Source organism: Homo sapiens, chromosome 3, assembly GCF_000001405.40.
Source record: "Homo sapiens chromosome 3, GRCh38.p14 Primary Assembly".
Lineage (NCBI taxonomy): Eukaryota > Metazoa > Chordata > Mammalia > Primates > Hominidae > Homo > Homo sapiens.
Genome location: NC_000003.12, coordinates 100,269,719 through 100,291,860, shown reverse-complemented (window position 1 = coordinate 100,291,860; position 22,142 = coordinate 100,269,719). Strand labels below are relative to the sequence as shown.

Genomic DNA, 22,142 nt, shown 5'->3' with positions numbered 1-22,142 from the left:
TGGGAGCCACGGCACTCCAGCCTAGGCGACAAGAGTGAAACTCCATCTCAAAAAAAAAAAAAAAGAAAAAAAAAAGCAGATATGATAATCCATCTTTGATGTAGCCAAACATTAATGAGATTTGCAAAAACATAAAACAATGCCACTACTCTAATTTTCTTTTGGAAAATAGTTGTTTATTTTAAAATAGGCTACTTATATCAACATGTAATAAATTTATAATTACTTTTAAATAAATTAATAAACATTTAAAATTCCTTAATTTTTTTTTTTTTTTTGAGACAGAGTCTCACTCTGTTGCCCAGGCTGGAGTGCAGTGGTGCAATCTCGGCTCACTGCAACCTCCGCCTCCCAGGTTCAAGTGATTTCTCCTGCCTCAGCCTCCCAAGTAGCTGGGATTACAGGTACACGCCACCACACCCGACTAATTTTTGTATTTTTAGTAGAGACAAGTTTCGCCATGTTGGCCAGGCTTGTATCAAACTTCTGACATCAAGTGATCCACCTTCCTTAGCCTCCCAAAGTGCTGGGATTGCAGGCGTGAGCCACTGCGCCTAGTCTAGTTTTAACAACTTCTCAATATAATCCATATGGATCATCAACAAATTTTAAGAGTGTAAAGGGTCCTGACACCAAAAGGTTTAAGGACCACTGACCTAAAGTAAGACTTCCCATTGAAAATAAAATACAGAATGATAGAGCACAGCGTTATACTTTATATTCTTTTATATTAACCATTTGATAACCTTAAGTCATTTTCCTTGTGACTGTATACCAATTCTTATACACACCATCAACAATTTAAACAAAGTTCTCAATTGAACTGATATATGTATCATATATTACATGTACATATTCATATTTATTACATATATGTAAATATGAGTTGTAATATTTATTTGTAATTAGTTGTAAATAGTTACATTTACACATACATGTAAAACAATAAAAGTGAACTTCATATCAAATAAGCTGAACTAACATGAGTGAAGGGCAAAAAAAGTTATTTTGAAATGCCAATAATTTTACCCCTTTGGTTTAAACAGTAATGATCTATAATTAGGACTTTTCTTTCTCTTCCTTGAAAAAAAAAACCCACCTAACTATAGCTTTACATAAATCTATTTTTCATTAAATGTTCCTACTTTCACTTTATTACCCAGTTGAGTGCATAGGAGTCTGGAGTAATTTTCTTTGTATCAAGATAAGAACAAAGCTCAGGCTCATGGTATTGGATGAGCAACCTGAAGAGATGAAATGGTCTCCCTTTCTGGGAACAATCCCTAGAAGACAAGAGAAGCAAAATTTTTTTGCATTAACAGATCAGAAATAATCACATCAGTAACCAATCTTCCTGCTATACCCTCCACAGCATTCACTGGAAGCCTACCTGACAGTAGCAGGCAGAGGTCTCTTGCTAATACCTTTTTCAATGTCCCTGACTTGACAAAAGTTGCAGAAACAGTAGGTCTAAAGCCACTCTAGGGACATTCTCACAGGTGAACCCAGGCAGCACTCCAGTGAGAGAACTACAGGGATCACTGAAAACAAATTTAGGTTATTTTGATAAGGCTGAGATCCCAAAAGGAGATCTGGGGAGTCCTTCCTTCTCTGCCAAAAAAGAGGAACTTCTAGAAACTAGGCTTCAGGTTAGCTCCACAGTTTATATACTCAATCAGGAATGTCCTTTAGCAAAGTACAAGTCTGAAATGGGCAGGTGAACATTTCAGAAATAATGGCCTTAAAAACTGTTGAAGCGGCCCAAGTACCAACTCCTCAGAGCAAATTCCAGAAGGTGCCAAAATACTCATCTTGTTCAATAACTGTCCTACTTCTAAGGGTTATTGTGAGAGCAAAATGGAAAAATTGGATCTGAATGTTGTTTTAAAGTAAAAGGCACCAAACATGTACATTAACATTTTTATCTAAAGGCTTTTTAAAAACAAATATTACCTTTTCCTGTCAGAGACTTCAAAAGTAGAAAGAAGGTACTCTACTTATTACCTGGGTGGTGAAATAATCTGTACACCAAACCCCCGTAACACACAATTTATTTATATAACAAACCTGCACACGTACCCCTAAACCTAGAATAAAAGTTAGAAATAATTACAAAGCACCTACAGATGCATTTTGGGCCATGGATTTCCTACAGTTTCTAGTCATCATCTCAGGAAGCATCTCAGCCTGCTCAGCTCTAAGAAGATTCCTCTGCCACGGGTCACAGCAGCCACTCACAGTCTTGATCTGAAAAGTACTGTCCCTCTACCCAGGCACCCAAGCATCTGAGCCCAGAGATAACAAACCCTTGGAGCAGTTCCAGATGTGGTCCATGAACTAGACTCACTCCTCAGGAAGTATAGTTACTTCCTCTTTCCATGCTCAGTCCCTGATCTCAAATTCAGAAGCATTATCTTCTAACTCCCACATACACAGCACTCTTAGAAAACCTTTCGAGCCCAGAGGATTTGTTAGATACTATTATGTTCACATTAGTTCATTTTCTTGTGTCCATGTTTGTGATAACTCAAACAGAATACTTCATGGAAAAAAACTCTTAAAAGATACCAGATATTTGGTAGTGGATCTTACTGGATATAGGGAGATAATTACATGTTTTTTGGGTTTTTTTTGTTTTGTTTTTTTAAGACAGGGTCTAGCTCTGTCACTCAGGTTGGAGTGCAATGGCGTGATCTCGGCTCACTGCAACCTCTTTGCGTCCTGGGCTCAAACCACCCTCCCACCTCAGCCTCCCAAGCAGCTGGGACTACAGGTACATCCACCATGCCCAGGCGATTTTTGTATTTTTGGTAGAGACAGGGTTTCTTCATGTTGCCCAGGCTGGTCTCGAACTCCTGGGCTCAAGCGATCCTCCCTCCTCGGCCTCCCAAATTGCTGGGATTACAGGCATGAGCCACCATGCCGGGCCAGAGGTAGTTACTTTTTAACCCGTACAGTTAAAAACAAAAAGCAATACTGAAAACACAGTTAATTCCAGACAGTTTGGTTAAAGTATGGTGTTACTGTTAACAAGATGCTGACTAACTCAATCTTCAGTTAGACCAGTAGGCTTCACTAATTCCTCAATTCTATAAATTTACTCCATTCAGCTTTTGTACTGAGATACATTCTACTATTACAAGGGAAGGAGGCAAGAATGTATCTAATGAATCAGCAAAAACTTATAAACAGGTCAAAGCACAGGCCATCATAATAAAAGTCAACTATTTATTGAGGAAATACCATGTGCCAGACAATGTAATAAGCATTTTACAAAGTTATTTCATTTTATCTTACATTTTATCAAACAATCCTATGAAATATATACCCAATTTACAGATGGGAAAACTGAGGCTCAACTAAAGTCAGGTAGCTCACTGAAGGTAAAATAGCCAAGAAGTGATGGAGCTAAGACTTGTATACAGAAACTGGACCTTAAGTCATTATGCCATACTGCCCCCTTCCATATCTAACTCAATATTTCAACAAGTGGTATTTTTGTAGGGGTCCCATCTCTAAAAAAGCAAACTGTAAAGAAAATGAAGTAAAAAGCCTCATGTAAAAAAGTCAATGAAATGAATGACAGTTTTTTTTAATTTTTTAATTTTTTTTTTTTTTAGACAGGGTCTCACTGTTGCCCAGGCTGGAGTGTAGTGGCAGGATCATGGCTCACTTCAGCCTCGACCTCCCTGGGCTCAGGTGATCCTCCCCACTTAGCCTCCTGAGTAGCTGGGACTACAGATGCATGCCCTCATGCCTGGCTAATTAAAAAAATTTTTTTTGTAGGATCAGGGTCTCACTATGTTGCCTCGGCTGGTCTCAAACTCCTGGGGTCAAGTGATCTGCCTGCCCTGGCCTCCCAAAGTGGCTGGGATTACAGGTGTGAGTCACTGCACCTGGCCTCACAGTTTTAACATGACAGCATTAATAAGGAGTGTTTTAAGCAGGGCAGAGTGGCATGTACGTGTAGTCCCAGCTACTCAGGAGGCTGAGGAGGGAGGATCACTTGAGACCAGGTTTTCAAGACCAGCCTAGACAACATAGTAAGATCTTGTTATCAAAAAAGAAAAAAAAATGTTTTACAATGTAATTTAAAGGGAAAAATAAAAATAATTTCTAAAATCTAAGATGTGAGGTCAATGTCAGGATTTGTATGACTCTCAATCTATCACTTTTTGATACTGCAGGTGGAAGGAAGTTTTATAGAAAAGGCCCCAGGTTGGCAATTGAGATGCCCAGACACAGAACTAGATTCATACTGGTATGACTACCTCCTCCTTAGTCTTAATACTTACCCTACTGTATAAATGCAAGGCAAAAGAATGCTAAGGCAGAACACACAGTGAGTAGAGGCATACACTATAGAAACAATTGCCTAGTTCATGATCTCATCTTCCAAAAAAGTGGGGCATCTCTGAGAGTCAGCCACTGCAACAGCAATTATTCATTTAACAACTGTATACTGCAGTGTTGCTCTCAAGTACAAGGCACTGTGCTTGACGGGATTCTGCCATCTTATATGTGAAACTGTAATAAGACATGCTAGTGGTAAAACCCAGTCTCTACCAAAAATACAAAAATTAGCCTGGTGATAGTGGCATGTACCTTTAAACCCAGCTACTTGGGAGGCTGAAGCAGGAGAATCGCTTGAGCTTAAGAGATGGAGGTGGCAGTGAGCCGAGATCAAGCAACTCCACTCTAGTCTGGGTGACAGAGTGAGACCCTGTCTCAAAAAAAGAAGAGAAAAAGGCTGGGCGCGGTAGCTTGCACCTGTAATCTCAGCACTTTGGGAGGCCGAAGGGGGCGGATCACTTGAGGTCAGAAGTTTGAGACCAGTTTGGCCAATGGTAAAACCCCATCTCTACTAAAAATACAAAAATTCGCCGGGTGTGGTGGCACACGCCTGTGATTCCAGCTACTCGGGGGCTGAAGCAGGAGAATCGCTTGAATCTGGGAGGCGGAGGTTGCACTGAGCCAAGATCATGCCATTGCACGCCAGCCTGGCAACAGAGCGAGACTCTGTCTAAATGAATAAATAAATAATTAAAAAGAAGAAGATATGTTAGGGTGGGAGTGGTGGCTCACGCCTGTAATCCCAACACTTTGGGAGGTCGAGTTGGGCGGATCCCTTGAGGTCAGAAGTTCAAGACCAGCCTGACCAATGGTGAAACCCCATCTCTACTAAAAACACAAAAATTAGCCAGGTATGGTCGCACATGCCTGTGATTCCAGCTACTCAGGAGGCTGAGGTATGAGAATCACTTGAATCCAGGAGGCAGAGATTGCAGTGGGCTGAGACTGTGCCACTGCACTCCAGCTTGGATGACAAAGTGAGACTCTGTCTCAAAAAAAAAAAAAAGAAGATATGTTAAAATGGAGTTCCAGCAGCATTCTGTGGGGCTCGGGGTTCCTTCCAGGGCTATTAATGCTGGCCCTGGCTGGAGGGCTGTTCCATATGGAAGTCATGGAAGCAATAACTAGAGAAACCTGACAACACAGTATGTTACAAAGCATAATGCAAAAGTCTTTCCCCACTGTTCCTAACTACCATCACCACCATTCTCCAGAGGCAAAGCTGGGACATCTTATCTCTTGCTATTGCTAGCTGTTAGAGCAAGAGGTGGCCATGAGAAGTGCTAAAATATAGGCAGTTGAGAGACCTAGTACAACAAAATGACTCCTAAATATGAATTCAAGTCTTGGCTCTGCCATGACCTTAGCCTTGTTTTCTGGTATCTTTAAGTCTGTTTTCCTTACATAAAGCAGTATGGCTTCAAGGTAGCACAGAGGTTCTCCATCCTGGTGCATATCAGAATCACCTGGAGAGATTTAAAAATATCTATACCTATGCTCTTTGCAGTCCACTTATATCTGAAACTCTAAAGGCTTACTGTGGAAAAAATAGGAGTGCAAAAGATTTATTGGAAAAAAAAAAACAAAACTCTAGGGACCAGTATGTTTTAAAAGTACTTTGGGTAAAGAGTCATTTCTCCAAAGAAGAAATATAAATTGCCAATAAACACATAAAAAGATGCTCAACATCATTAGCCATTAGGGAAATGCAAGTCAACAACCATAATGAGGTATCATTTCACACTCACTAGGATGGGCTATAATCAAAAAGACAAATGTTGACAAGGATGTGAAGAAACTGGGATCTCCACTGACTGTTGGTGAGAACATATGATGCAGCTGCTATGGAAAAATCCGGCAATTCCAGAAAAGGTTAAACATAATTACCATATGGTCCAGCAATTCCCCTTGTAGGCACATATCCCAGAAATGAAAATACACATCTACACAAAAACTTGTATATGAACGTTCACAGCTTCATACTCATAATAGTAAAAAAGTGAAAACAATCCAAATATCCATCAACTGATGAATAGGTAAATAAAATGCGGTATACGCATACAATAAAAAATTTGGCAAAAAAAGAAATGAAATAAGATATATGATACAATATGAACCTAGAAAACATAATGCTAAACATTAAAGGCAGTCACAAAAACATATAAGGTATGATTCCTTATATACAGAATCATACCAATCATTCCCCCCATTTTGGGGGAAAATGGAGAGTTGACCACTAACGGGAAGGGGATTTCTTGTTGGGGTGATAAAATGTTCTAAAATTGGTTGTGGTTATGGCTGTACAACTCTGTGACTATAATTAAAACCAGTGAATTGTACACATTAAAATGGTGAATTTTATGGAATATAAATTATATCTCAATAAAGTCGTTATTTAAAAAAAGAAAAAGTGCTTCAGTTGATTCTAACAAGCAACCAGGGTAGAGAACCATACAAAACACTTATACCTCATACAGTGTGGTATCACTTAGAAAGTAGTAAAAAATAAGAGTCAGTTAACTATCAAGGTCCAGATTAGCGGTTCTCCACCTTGGCTACACGCTGAAATTAATTAGTAAGCTCTAAACAAACTGATGCCTAGGTCCCATCACCAAGAGATTTTCATTTAATTACTCATGTATGCAAATAGTCATTAGGATTTTTAAGAGCTCCCCCAATAGTTCTAATGTGCATTCAAGGTTGTACAGCCAAGCCACTAGTCTAGACTATGTCTAAAGTTTCTTTTGGTACTAAAATTCTAACTATCTGATCTATTGCACTGGGAACTACAACAATTCTTTCTGGCCTCATGAGTGCTGCCCACCACCACGACCCCCACTACAACCCCCATCACAACCACCTGCACATCTGTCTGGTCTCAAATGCCACTTACCATGGGAAAGCCATCCCTGACCTCCAAGGTAAGTTAGGTTGCCCCCATTATACATCCCCATAGCACTCTATATTTCACCTTTCTAACATTCAGCACACTTCAATTTACTTGTTCAATGCCTATATTTCTAGGACTTCCTTCCAAGCTCAATAAGGTAACACCCCAGAAATTTTACTTTTCACCTGAACACTGTAATATTTTATAGGCAAATAAATTAAAATAGGGATACCACCAAATAAACTGGAAGAATTATATATATAAACTCTAGAAATTTTTAATTTTTAAATTATTTTTTAAAAATAAATTTCTGTGCATTATACAACACGTTATAAAAAACACATACATAGTAAAATGGTTACTATTGTGGAACAAAATAATGCACCTATCATCTCATATTCCCAATTTCCCCTCTGTGGCAAAAGCAGCTATAATCTACTTATTTAGCAAAAATCTTCAATATAATAGACTATTATTAACTAGAGTCCCCACATTGCATATTAGGTCTTTCGACTTGTTCATCACACCTATTTGCTATTTTGTATCCTTTTGACCTAAATCTCCCCACTTCCTCCCCAACTCCAACCCCAGTATAACCACTGTTTCAGAAGTATACATTTTTAACTAAAGAATCTTTTAAAAAATGTTTATAACCACAAAAATAAAATAACAATTATGGATCAAACAATCCTCAAAATTATTTGAACCTTTTACTTTACCGCCAAAGTAAATCTAGCAACTTTAGCTCAAAGCAAACCAGGCCTGTATTCACTTTTAAAAACTACAATAACTGAATCATATTTTACCTGGGAATGTACTTATTCATTATGGCATAAAAGCAGTTGTATAAATCGCTGCGTGGCAGTTGAAGATGCACCAATGGTTTCAGTAGATGTATCCAGCTAAGGGATGTGCTATATTTAATGTTACGTGATTTACAATAAAAGGTAATTACAGATTCAATATCCAAAAGTAATTCTGCTGCCTTCTCCTCTGGCACTGAAAGCTGGTCTAGAAAATAAATGTTAAAAATAAAGTTACTGAGGGCCTGTCAGGGGCTGTTATTGGACATAACACTTGTTTACAAATATATAATACTATGTTAGTGCATTTAGAGAAAGACAAAGTGAAACTACATGAAAGTATATTTTCCCTTATACTTATTTTAACAATCATTGGTTCACAGATCCAAAACCCAAGGAAAACACACAGTCAAAACGCTTTATAACAGCCTTTTTTTTTTTTGAGACGGAGTTTAGCTTGTCACCCAGGCTGGAGTGCAATGGCACGGTCTTGGCTCACTGCAACCTCCACCTCCCGATTTCAAGTGATTCTTCTGCCTTAGCCTCCCGAGTAGCCAGGATTACAGGCAAGCACCACCACACCCAACTAAATTTTTGTACTTTTAGTAGAGACAGGGTTTCACCATGTTGGCCAGGCTGGTCTCGAACTCCTGACCTCAGGTGATCTGCCTGCCTCGGCCTCCCAAAGTGCTGGGATTATAGGCATGGGCCACTGTGCCTGGCCTTCTAACAGTCTTTTAACTTTAAGACAGTTTAAAGAAAATTTAAAGAAAATTAAGAATAACAGTTTCACTTAAGCATGTTTTCTTACCTAGTCTGTTGAGAGAGAAGGGAAAGAAACAGAAGACTTCTATACATTCAGTATTTACTAAACATTAGCACTTAGTAATACCTGATCTATATATATGTCAAACATAAGAATGGCCAATCTGAATTAAAGGGATAGGTAAAGATAGGCATAGCCCATATTCCTGGGAAGCAAAAGGGTTTTCTAAACAGATTATCACCTACTCCATGATGGGCAGTTGTTGCTATAATTTTGGCAAGAAGAGGGAAAGGAATTCATTCTCCACTATCAAATTCTTTCTTTTGTCCACACCAGCAATAATGTTTCTGCTGTGCTTACCACACATAGGCCTATCAAGCTAATAATTTAACTAAAATATGATGGAAAGAGAAACAAAAATACAATGCACTAGAGATGAATTTAAAAGAAGTATAAACTAAATTCATCCACATTGTGAAATGAAATAGATGTTGTGGGGTGACTGGAAACCTATTCAATCACAATTTATAGTAGTTTCTCTACAGCAGTCCACAAACTATGATTTATAGATAAACTTTTGGAACAAAGCTCCCCTTTGAGGGCTGCATACAATCATATAGATCTTTAATTATATAAAAATCAAATTTAAGACTACAACAAACCCATAAATGTACATGAAAAATCTAACATATAATGCAAAAGAAACAGTAAAAACTAGGTTATCTTTTTTGTTTCTTTGAGATAGAGTCTCACTCTGTGCCCAGGCTGGAGTGCAGTGGTGTGATCTCAGGTCACTGCAACCTTTGCCTCCTGTGTTCAAGCAGTTCTCCTGCCTCAGCCTCCCAAGTAGCTGGGACTACAGGCGCCCACCACCACACCTGGCTAATTTTTGTATTTTTTAGTAGAGACAGGGTTTTGCCATGTTGGCCAGGCTGGTCTTGAACTCTTGACCTCAAGTGATCTGTCTGCCTTGGCCTCCCAAAGTGCTGGGATTCAGGTGTGAGTCACTGCACCCAGTCAAAACTAGGCTCCCTTAAAATTAATAGACAATATTTCATAAGAATTTCCAAAGAAAAGTTCTAAAGCTATTTACAAGCCTTTTACAAATTCTGAAATTATAAGATTATTCTGAAGAGTGATTCCTCAACCCAAAAATTATTTCCAAAATTTAACTCTGCTTGAAAGTGATTATTCAGCTTACCAATAAACTGCAGGCAATCTTTGTGAATAGTGTTCTGTTCTGGCAAGTCTAAAATACCATCCCATGATGCCAAACTATCACCTTTTCCTGCAACATTCAGAGCAATCTGGAAGAAAGATTTAAAAAGTGACTAGCTTCATATGTTATTCCTCATTCTTGGAAAATATGCTGTAATAATTAAAGGCCTGAATTTAAAAATAATAACAAAGATTACAATTAAGGTATCCATACTCCACCAAATGTTGAGTATTTAGTCATGTCACAACCAGCAGAATTATTTTAAGTCCTCCTACATTAGATATTTCTTCATGTTGATTTAGTGAATACAATAAATTACCCAAAATATTTATATATTTAGATATGTAAATTTACACAATCAATTTTTTTAATGTAAAAACAACAGAATGTACTGGCAAAGAAAAAGTACATCTGTGCCATGTACATTTTAAAATTATACAAAAGAATACTTAATAAATTGAGCAAATGTTTTCACTGTTTTGTAAGGTTTTTTTTAAAATGTAAAATAAACTGTATTGATTTAAAGAATCTTAAGTGACATATCCAAATGCAACAGGTAGACCTACTAGAATTCAAATTTAAACAAATCACCCATAAAAACACATGTATGAGACAACTGAAGAAATTATTTTATGATATTAAGGAATTACCAGTCTTTTTTATTTTTTGAGACTGAGTTTCGCTCTCTTGCTCAGGCTGGAGCATAGTGGCACGATCTCGGCTCAATGCAACCTCTCCGCCTCCCGGGTTCAAGTGATTCTCCTGCCTCAGCCTCCCAAGTAGCTGATACTACAGGCACCCACCACCACGCCCAGCTAATTTTTGTATTTTTAGTAGAGATGGGGATTCACCATGTTGGCCAGGCTGGTCTCAAACTCCTAACCTCAGGTGATCCACCTGCCTCAACTTCCCAAAGTGCTGGGATTACAGGTGTGAGCCACTGTACCCAGCCAGGAATTACCATTCTTTTAAACGTTTCAGACTTTTAGTATGCTAGCAAGGATTTGCTTTAAAACAATCCAGTGAGTTGGGTGGGGAGGAAAGGATGAGGATACTAATCAAACAACACTGGCTAAATGTTGATACCAGTTAAAGCTGGGTTATGGGCACATGGGAGTTCATTATACAAGTTCTACACTTTTGCATGTGCTTAAACTTCTATAATAAAATGCTCAGAATGCTGTGTACAGTTTTAATTCCATTTCTGTTACATATGTGCATAGGGCAAAAAGGTAAAAAGGTAAGCACCAAGACCTCATCTGTTTTACCTATAGGTGGTAGGTAACAGATTTTTATTTTATCCTTTGTGGTTGTTATGCTGTATATATTTCCACAAATATATGTATTTCTTTTGTAATCATAACAATGCCTTAATTCAAAATTTTAAAAAATAATAATACACATGAACTGTAGAATAGCTGAATAGAGGAAAACAAAGGGAAAATCTCCTATAACCCAACAGCCAGAGGCATACTTCCTTTTTTATTTTTAACATTGTTATGATCATTCTGTATCTGCAAATATACATCCTATTTTACTCACTGATTGTATCTTGTTTCAAGAAAATTTTCATAAACACCATTTCTTTTTGTTTTTTTTTTGAGATGGAGTCTCACTTTGTCACTCAGGCTGGAGTGCAGTGGCGCTATCTCGGCTCACTGTAGCCTCGCCTCCTGGGTTCAAGCGATTCTCTTGCCTCGGCCTCTTGGTAGAGATGGGGTCTCACCATGTTGGCCAGGCGGGTCTTGAACTCCTGACCTCAGGTGATCTGCCTGCCTCAGCCTCCCAAAGTGTTGGGATTATAGGCATGAGCCATTGTGCCTGGCCCCATAAACACCATTTCTAATGGCTACAAAAGCATATATTACATTCCAAAATCTAAGCCATTATTGTTAAATATACCAAACACTACAGAAACAAACATTTTAATAAGCTGCTGTTTGATAAATCTAGATGCGGCATGCTCATAAGGTAATAAAGTTTTCTGCAACTAAGACATCTGAAGCAACAAACTTTTAAAAATATTATTCTTCAGTGATTACATTTTATTCATTTTAGTTTCTAGTTACCTTCCAAACTTTGGCCCTCAGATCAGCAGGCAGCGGTCTTCCTTGAATTATATTTCTCAACGTTTCAAGATCACAACCTCCTGCTTCCAGAGCTTCTTCAAGATCTTTTTCCCTAAAAAATAAGTCCTATTTATTAAAATGAACTTTATCTCATACTTTTTCTTATTCAAGATTCATTTATAAGCATGGCCTATTAAAGGCTTGTCTAAGAAACAAAAGTTCTCAGCAACCAAAATGTAATGCCAAGGTATACACAGCATGTTTTCTTGTGGGAAATCTCAGGCTTCATACAGTCAATTTACTCTCATTTTACCCTTAGTTTGGTTGTCTTTTCCTAGATTAGAGAAATTTAAAGAGGAGATGGGGCAAGCTGGCTGACAGCACTGTGAAGTCATAGTAATAACAGTATTCCTGGTGGTGGTAATAACTTTACATAGCAACTATGTGTGGGGCACTATTTCAAACATTTTATGTGTTCTTTTTAATCCTCATAACAATCCCTATGAGGTAGGTTACATCACTGACCCCACGTACAGATGCAAAAATGGAGGCAAAGAAGGGTTATAGACATTTAGGGGACAACTGAAGAAATAACTTCATTGGTATTAAAAAGTTACTGTTCTTTTAGGTGTTTACCAGTATTATGGTATAGGGTCACATGTCATATTATGGTCACATGTCATATCAGCAGTAGAGCCAGGATTCAAATTTTAACAGTCTGGTTCCTGAATTCGTGTTCTTAACATTATGCTCAATTCAGCCAAGAATTCAAAACACTGCAGCCTGAGACTATTTAGTAAATGACTACATCAGTATCATGCCTAGAGCAGTGCCTAGCCTACAATAAGTATTAAATAAATGTTAGAGGGAAAAAAGGATCTATTGGTATATTAAAGCAAAAGAATAATATCACATCATCAAGTAAATTACCAAGCAGTTTTGTTCAGTCTACGATGTTTAAGGAGAAAAGTATGAATTTAATTTCATTTGTATAAGGTAAAAATAATTAAAAGAATACTTTTACAAAAGTATACATTGTTTTCTAGCCAGAAAATAACCAGTTAAATTATCAATTCCAGCTGGGCGCAGTGGCTCACGCCTGTAATCCCAGCACTTTGGGAGGCCAAGGTGGGTGGATCACAAGGTCAGGAGTTCAAGACCAGCCTGGCCAAGATGGTGAAACCCCGTCTCTACTAAAAACACAAAAAATTAGCGGGCTGTGGTGGCAGGTCCCTGTAATCCCAGCTACTTGGCAGGCTAAGGCAGACAATTGCTTGAACCCAGGAGGCGGAGGTTGCAGTGAGCCAAGATTATGCTACTGCACCCCAGCCTGGGTGACAGAGCAAGACTCCGTCTCAAAAAAAAAAAAAAAAATCAATCAATTCCTTAGGAATTTTCAAAAACTGAGGTTTCAGTCATTGTTTATGATTTCAGCATACATTAAAAATCTGTACAAATTTTTAAGAGCTTCATAACCTGGACAATCTGTAACATTCTTTGAAGCAGCCTAAAAGGCAGATGATCTCACTAGGATCAGGAAATCAGGATTTCTGTCCCATTTTGGTGGTTCTGAAGAAAATAAATTATTCCCACTCTTCATTTTTTTCACTAAGACAATGAAAACTTCCCCACTGATAGGCATCTAAGAATATTAGTTTAAATGTATAAATTTCATAAAGCGTTGCTCTCCTAAGAGAAAGGAATTAAATGAAAATGTAATCACTTAGGATCATACTCAACAGAAAAGTACTCATCGAATTTGAAAGGTTCCTTGACAAAGCTACTACAAATTCATATGAACAGAAGATAACTAATAACCACACAAGAAACATTTAGTTCTTTTGCTATATGGTCACCAAAGTGTTGGAAGGGAGAGGTAGAGAAAAAGATTTCAAGTCTACTGTTGAGAGTTCAGGCCTATAGCTGATAAAAACTGGGGTTTATCTCTTCTCTTCTGGCCAAAATGTACAAGGCAGGCTGTTAGTAACCATGAAACAAAGAAAATTTAATGGCATCTTTGGTGAATAAATACCATATATTTAAATGGTCAAATGTGTCAAATAATGAGGGACTAAAAACACTACTTACTGGGATGAAATTATTTTACTAGATGAAGAATTAGAATTATTCACTTTTTAGTGCAAAATCCTTTTCTTTTTGAAGTAATTTTGCCAAATCCCCTACTATTCCAGAGAACAAAGCTTGTATTTTGTTGCAAAATGCCCAATCCTCAAAGTACTTTTTAAATCACAATAATGTACAAACACATCTCTGTTGATACAGCTGCTGTTGGAGTCTTTGATGCTGTCTCCAGGGAACCACAAATGTGCTCTCCAGCAGTACAACCATGAGCAAGGGCTCCTTTGAAGACCAGAAAATGCTACACCTTAAGTAGCAAAAGATACTTCTTACAAACCTAAATAATTAAAAGTAACACTATTTTCTGAACAAGGCATCCAAAGGTACAGTTAATAGACCTTCGACAATATAAATGTGCTTATAAAAGTAGTAAAGAGCTGAAAATTGTTAAGGTAAATCATTCATAGAAGGATCAATCAGAGATAAGAATTCTATAGCATTTAGCTCCCAAATAGAATTCCTCTTCCCCTAAACCAAGTTTCTGCTTTTAAACAAGTAATACAATTCTAACATACAAAAGCAAAATCCATGTCTGGTGTGGTATGAGTGGGTGGGCTGTGTTTTGTTCAGTCTTCTTTGATTACCAGCAGCTTCTCACTGACCTTACAAATTAAAGATTGGTACAGTTACACTGGACATCCAGACAAGGTTTTAAAACAGAAAAGTACAGGCTTTGTCCATTTATTCTAGAAAGTACAAAAAATAAGCAAAATTATCTCCTTTGCTCAGAAAGGTCAGGACAGACCAAATCCCATGGTTCTGAGGTGGGAAGGAAGGAGAAACTCACCTCCTCCTGACTCTGTGACTTTGAAACTATTAACGTATGTTGGTATAATACTACAGGTTCCTGTCATGATCTATCAATAGCATTATTTTCCAAACCTAAATAAAACATAACAGAATTTCCCCTCACCTGATGTTGTGTGGTAAAATCACCTAATCTAAGCATTGTAGCCCAAGTTGCTTCAGAATTACAGCGAGGCAAACAATGTCACTGGATTTATATGGAAATAGTTTAATATTTATACTCAAGCTAGCAAATGAATTGGATTTTTCTTCTTTAGCCAAATGGTGAATAACATATGGAAGCATTTGCACAATGTATGGGAGAAGGAAGCATGAATTTTCAAGCACTACCAAATTTAATATGCATTTCCAAATGCTTCTATGATTAACAAATTCGTTATTAGAAATTTTGTAATTTTCTGAATAAACCATATTGAATCATACTAAAATTATGATTTTTAAAAGCAACTGGATTACATATATTGTGTTCCTAAAATTAAAATTATAGGAAATAGGAATTATATATTATATTCCTATAATATATATTATAGGAAATCTCCCACTAGGAAAAAATGACTATATACTAACATTTTTCTAAATTCGGTTTTCCTCCCAACCATGTTCTAAAAATTTATTTTCCCCATCATTTCAAAATTTATGAAAACTGTTTAAATATACACACACTCTCGCCAAACAGGGCATGAAAACAAGAAACGAGACTTAGTTCATCTCCTTTTTTTTTTTTTTTTAACAAGTATCTTTCTGCACTTAAAGAAACCCCATACCCATTAGCAGTCACTCGCCATTCCTCCCCACCAGCACCTCCTACCCTGACCCCAGTCTCTGCCAACCGCTGATTTACTTTCTGTCTCTACATATTTACCTATTCTAGATATTTCATATAACTGGAATCATATAATGTGTGGCCTTTATGCCTGGTTTCATTTAGCATAACATTTCAACATCTATCCATAATGTAGCATGTATCAATATATGCTTTTCATTGCCAAATAATAGTCCATTGTATATGAATATACCATATTTTACTTATCCATCCATTACATAATGGGCTTTTGAGTTGTTTCAACTTTTTGGTTATTATAATTACCTTAATTTTGAACACAAGTATCAGTAGTTCAACTGGTTAAGTGTATGATACATATATATTATTTGTTCATTAATTATTTATTCTTCAAGAGGTCTGAAAGAATTTAAAGATCAAGTCTATTAAAACCTCACTCAAAAACTAAACCCAAACCAGGCCAGGGGCAGTAGCTTATACCTGTAATCCCAGCACTTCTGGTTGGATGGCTTGAGCCCAGGAGTTTGAGACCAGCCTGGGCAACATGGAAAAAACCCATTTCCACAAAAAGTACAAAAATTAGCAAGTTGTAGTGGTATGCAGCTGTAGTCCCAGCTACTCAACAGGCTGAGGCAGGAGGATCAATTGAGCTCAGGAGGCAGAGGCTGCAGTAAGGCCAAGATCATACCACTGCACTCCAGCCTGGGCTACAGAACGAGACCCTGTCTCAAAAAACAGGCTACAGAACAAGACCTTGTCTCAAAAAGCAAACAAACAAAAAAAAAACACAAAATAATAAAACCAAACCAAAGAACCTGTCACACTCATGAGGATGACTACTACTTTCAAAAAACATAGGTTGACAAAGATGTGAACCCTTGTGTACAGTTAGTGGAAATGCAAAATGACGCAGCCACTATGGAAAACGGTATGACAGTTCCACAAAGAATTAAAAATACATGTCTCATACAATTCAGCAATTCCATATCCTGAAATGTCTGAAAGAATTGAAGGCAGAGTCTGAAAGAGACTTTTGTATACACATGTTCACAGCAGCATTATCCACAGTAGCCCAAAGGTGAATGCAACCCAAGTGTCCGTTCACTGAGGGATGAATGAATAAACAAAAAGGGGGGGGGTGTGTACTGTATGCATAGATATATGTAATTAATAAACAAATATTATATATTTATCATATTATATATGTTTATTAATTTATATATGTAATTAATAAGTTAATTACATATTATAGAATATATATTATATATAATATATAATGGACTATTATACAGCCTAAAAAGGGAGGAAATTCTGACACATGCTACGACATAGATGAACCTTGACAACATTACGGTAAGTGAAATAAATCCGTCCCAAAAAGACAAATACTATACAATGCCACTTATGTGAGGTACCTAGAGTAGTAAATTTAGAGAGCGGTTACCAGGGCAGAGGGAGGGGAGAATGAGGAGCTCTTTAACAGATACAAAGTTTCAGTTCTGCAAGATGAAAAGCATTCTAGAGATTATATGCACAACAATGTAAATGTACTCAATACTAATGTACACTGAAAAATGGTCAAGATGGTAAACTTTTTACATTATGTATATTTTACCACAATTTAAAAAAATCAACTCTATTTAACGTATTATAAAAATTCATAAATTTGAGCTTTAGTGTCAGACCTGGGTTTCAATTTTGGCCCTTCAACAGCCATGTGACCTTACAAAAGGAAAAAGCACCACAATGCTTATCTTATAGGGTCAGTTAATGCTTAAATAAGTTTCTGAACACAAAAAATTCAGGGCAATGCTTGGCTACATAATTCCTTAATAAACAGAATCCATGAATACTATTTCTTTTGTTATTGTTACTGAACAACAGCTTACTTTCTTAAAATGAATTTTTAATCATAATCATTTTAAAGAATTTTGCCAATGCATTAAAAAAATTAAAAACCAACCACAATTCCATTACCATGAGATAATCACTTTTTGTGAATCACTTTTCAGTTTCTCATGTGTGTATTTATAGACATATATATAGACATATATTTACATATAGACATCTATATTTATAATAAACTCAATCATACTGAAAATACAATTTTGAATAGTATTCCCTGGGTTTTATTATGGGGTTTTCATAGTTTTTAGGCTTCCATCTTGAGTTGATTTTTGTATATAGTGTAAAGAAGGGATCCAGTTTCAATTTTCTGCATATGGCTATCCAGTTATCCCAGCACCATTTATTAGATAGGGAATCCTTTCCCCATTACTTATGTCAGGTTTATTGAAGATCAGACAGTTGTAGGTGTGCAGTCTTATTTCTGGGTCCTCTGTTCTGTTCCACTGGTCTATGTGTCTGTTCTTGTACCAGTATCCTGCTGTTTTGGTTACTTTAGCCCTGTAGTGTAGTTTGAAGTCAGGTAGCGTGATGCCTTCAGTTTTGTTCTTTTTGCTTAGGATTGCCTAGGCTATTTGGGCTCTTTTTTGGTTCCATACGAATTTTAAAATAGTTTTCTCTAGTTTTGTGAAGAATGTCAATGGTAGTGTAACGAGAATAGCACTGAATCTACAAATTGCTTTTGTGGGGAAAAGAAAGAGAGATCAGATTGTTACTGTGTCTGTGTAGAAAGAAGTAGACATAGGAGACTCCATTTTGTTCTGTACTAAGAAAAATTCTTCTGCCTTGAGATGCTGTTAATCTATAACCTTACCCCCAAGACATGTGCTGTGTCAACTCAGGGTTAAATGGATTAAGGGCTGTGCAAGATGTGCTTTGTTAAACAGATGCTTGAAGGCAGCATGCTCGTTAACAGTCATCACCACTCCCTAATCTCAAGTACCCAGGGACACAAACACTGCGGAAGGCTGCAGGGACCTCTGCCTAGGAAAGCCAGGTATTGTCCAAGGTTTCTCCCCATGTGATAGTCTGAAATATGGCCTCGTGGGCAGGGAAAGACCTGACCGTCCCCTAGCCCGACACCCGTAAAGGGTCTGTGCTGAGGAGGATTAGTACAAGAGGAAGGCATGCCTCTTTGCAGTTGAGACAAGAGGAAGGCATCTGTCTCCTGCCCGTCCCTGGGCAATGGAATGTCTCGGTATAAAACCGATTGTATGTTCCATCTACTGAGATAGGGGAAAACCGCCTTAGGGCTGGAGGTGGGACATGTGGGCAACAATACTGCTCTGTAAGGCATTGAGATGTTTATGTGTATGCATATCTAAAGCACAGCACTTAATTCTTTACCTTGTCTATGATGCAGAGACCTTTGTTCACGTGTTTATCTGCTGACCTTCTCTCCACTATTATCCTATGACCCTGCCACATCCCCCTCTCTGAGAAACACCCAAAAATGATCAATAAATACTAAGGGAACTCAGAGGCTGGCGGGATCCTCCATATGCTGAACGCTGGTTCCCTGGGTCCCCTTATTTTTTTCTCTATACTTTGTCTCTGTGTCTTTTTCTTTTCCAAGTCTCTCGTTCCACCTAACGAGAAACACCCACAGGTGTGGAGGGGCAACCCACCCCTTCAGCTTTGGGCAGTATGGCCATTTTAACAATATTAATTCTTCCTATCCATGAGGATGGAATGTTTTTCCATTTGTTTGTGTCATCTCTGGAGGCCATTATCACTAGCAAACTAAAGGAGGAACAGAAAACGAAATACTGCATGTTCTCAAACATATTACTTCTCTAGCGTATTAAGTAACTGCTACTTAAGAAAGGATACTTTACAGAATCATTAAGTAGGAAACAATGTGGCACATGTACTACTTTATCTGTCTCATTTTAGTTCTCCAATACTGAATATTGGAAGGATAAACAGGCGAAACAAGTTCAACTTATAGCTGACAACAAACTGTATTTTAAAGGTTTACAGTATGATAAACTTGGAAGTAACTTAAAAGATATAAAAACATGTGGCTCAATTTTTGAGTGGAGAAAATAATTAATTTGAGGGAGTAAGTATCCTCCCCATACTCCCTGTGGATGGAGACAAAGGTAAGGGATGGAAGGGTGGCATGGATTCGTTAGAAAAGCCTTCATGTGGCTTCACTTTATGTCCTCTGTCTTGATTCCATGGCCCAAAACTTAAAGCACATTCTTGACAACACCCTTGACTTCTTCACTCCTTGCTCTTTCTGTCACATTCAGAAAGCTGCAAATTCCCAACATTAGGTTAATCTAACCAGTCTGCCTTCTCTGTTCCTATACTCTACTCAATGTGGGCTTCTTGGGAAAATAAGACAACTCTATGATGCTATCATATAACAATAGTGCCTGAAAATCTCCTATTCAGCACTTACTTCAGACTCCTTACCCAGCCACTTTACCTCAGGTGACTTTACTTATGACTCCAGAGAGAATATATAGGCCAGCAGGCTTCTCTTCCCTTTGATCTCAGCCCCCTCCAAAAACAAACAAACATAAGCAACTTATTATTCCAGTCATTTTCTTCTTTCCTGTATCCACAGGAGACTTACGTATCTCTTCTCTAGCCTAAGACTGGTAACTTCACCTGACTCTTATCTCCACCCACTCCCCACGATCTTTCAGAAGCCATGTGCCATCCATTATCCCTTCTCTCCTATTTTCCACTTCTTTCTCTACTGGCTCTTTCTTCTGAGAAAACATGCTCAAAAATTGCCATTAGAAACAGCAATGTCCACCACAAAAACGTCTCCACGTTCTCCCTTTCCATCCAGCTACCAAACTTTTGGTTGTTCCTTTCACAAAGAATTCTTGACAATATATGTAACAACTTTTCCCTCATCTTAAATCTATCTCTTCCCTCTCTTGCCAACCCACTTCCATTTCTCATCCCTCTTTGATCCTCACCACTCCATAGGGACCACTCTCTGTATCATCTCCACCCCCTTTCTTAACCAAATCTAAAACACTTAAGATATTAATAGAATGTTTTCTGGGTTGGAAAAAAAATGTTTTAAATTCATGAAGCCTCTCAGTCTATCAACTAAGCTAAGTCAGCTTCACTAATCTTCAAAATTCTTAAAATTGAATCCTTTTCTGTAATTATAAAAATAATGAAGACTAGCAGTTTTTAAAGGACCAAGTAGGGTCTATAATGTATGTAATCACTCTACACTTAAATGCAGAGTATAGAGAAATTACAAAGAAAATCCAATTACCACATTAAAAAAAATTAATATTGTGTCTTAAAGTGGCCAAAGTCTAAGATTTATTATTGTTTTCTTAAAATAAAAATACAAAAGCTACACTACTGGGAAATCAATAAAAGCCCAAAGCCTGACATGATGTTAAAAAATAACATCTTAAATATGTTATTTCTATTGCATATGATATTATTCAAACCTGTGAGTCTGCTAACAGTATTAAACAGAGCCAAGAGAAAACAAATGAACTCAGAAACCTTCACTGAAAGTACTTCTAGCATTCAAAAATATAACCTGTGATTATCTCCTTTCCTTTAAAATTTTCACATTTACTTACTTAAAGGGTCCTATATATAAATATAACCTACTCCCCATCAAAAAGTCATCTCTCTCCTTCCTTTTACAGTTCAACTTCCTTGAAAACAGTAGTCTCCACTCACCTAAACTTACTCTCTCATTCACCCAAAACCTCTATCACTCTACTAAAGGTGCTCTCAGAAGTCATTAGTCATCTTTCTCAGCTCTCGTCCCCTTTACATACACTGCAAAGTTTGACTGTCTTCTTAAAACACTCTCATTTAGATTTTCCTCTGCTTTCCTAACCCATATACTGAATTATTTCCTTCCCTGACATAAGTATTCTTTTATTCAAACCTTCAACACGTATGTATTGAGCACCTACTACAGGCTACTCACTGTGTGAGGCACAGGGGATGCAGTACAGAAAAAAAAAGTCAATGCTCTTATGTAGCTTACATGCCAGATGGCTATTCCAAGGTTCTAGTCCAAGTCCTATCATCTAAATCCTGTTGAACAGAGGTGGGAGCGGCTCTGAAGTGCAATTTATTCATATTTGTTTAGAATGTAAATCACTGTAAGCTCAGATTAAACCATGACAGCCCAGCTTGTCCATGTACATATCCTAATCAGGTATAAGCCTCTGACCAATTACTTAAAACTCTAAAGTGAATACCTAATTAGTCATAAGCACTAGCAAATTGTGGAACAGTGAGTAAGCAGTGGCAAGCTGCATGTATTGAATTGTGGTTTCATGGCTTAATTTGTGCCACCACATTTCTGGGGGTTTCTTAATGCCCAGGGAATGAGACATCAGCACCAAAGCTTTGTCTGAACTTATTTTGCTACTATTGTTAGGACGCTGGTTACAAAGT

At 37.5% G+C, this 22,142-nt stretch overlaps 1 protein-coding gene across 4 annotated transcripts in view; it reads right to left on the bottom strand.

The window, feature by feature from the left end:
* Positions 1–22,142, bottom strand: part of TBC1D23 (TBC1 domain family member 23) — a 64,247-nt gene that overhangs the window by 33,378 nt on the left and 8,727 nt on the right. For 2 of the 4 annotated variants that reach the window (NM_001199198.3, NM_018309.5), the window contains exons 2-5: positions 12,101–12,212; positions 10,014–10,119; positions 8,050–8,254; positions 1,160–1,283 (exon numbers count right to left, since the gene is read on the bottom strand). In NM_001199198.3, the coding sequence (NP_001186127.1) occupies positions 1,160–1,283; positions 8,050–8,254; positions 10,014–10,119; positions 12,101–12,212 (547 nt within the window). Of the gene's footprint in view, positions 1–1,145; positions 1,284–8,049; positions 8,255–10,013; positions 10,120–12,100; positions 12,213–22,142 lie in introns of those variants that run through there. The other 2 variants (XM_017006841.3, XM_047448562.1) reach the window with 2 other exon arrangements.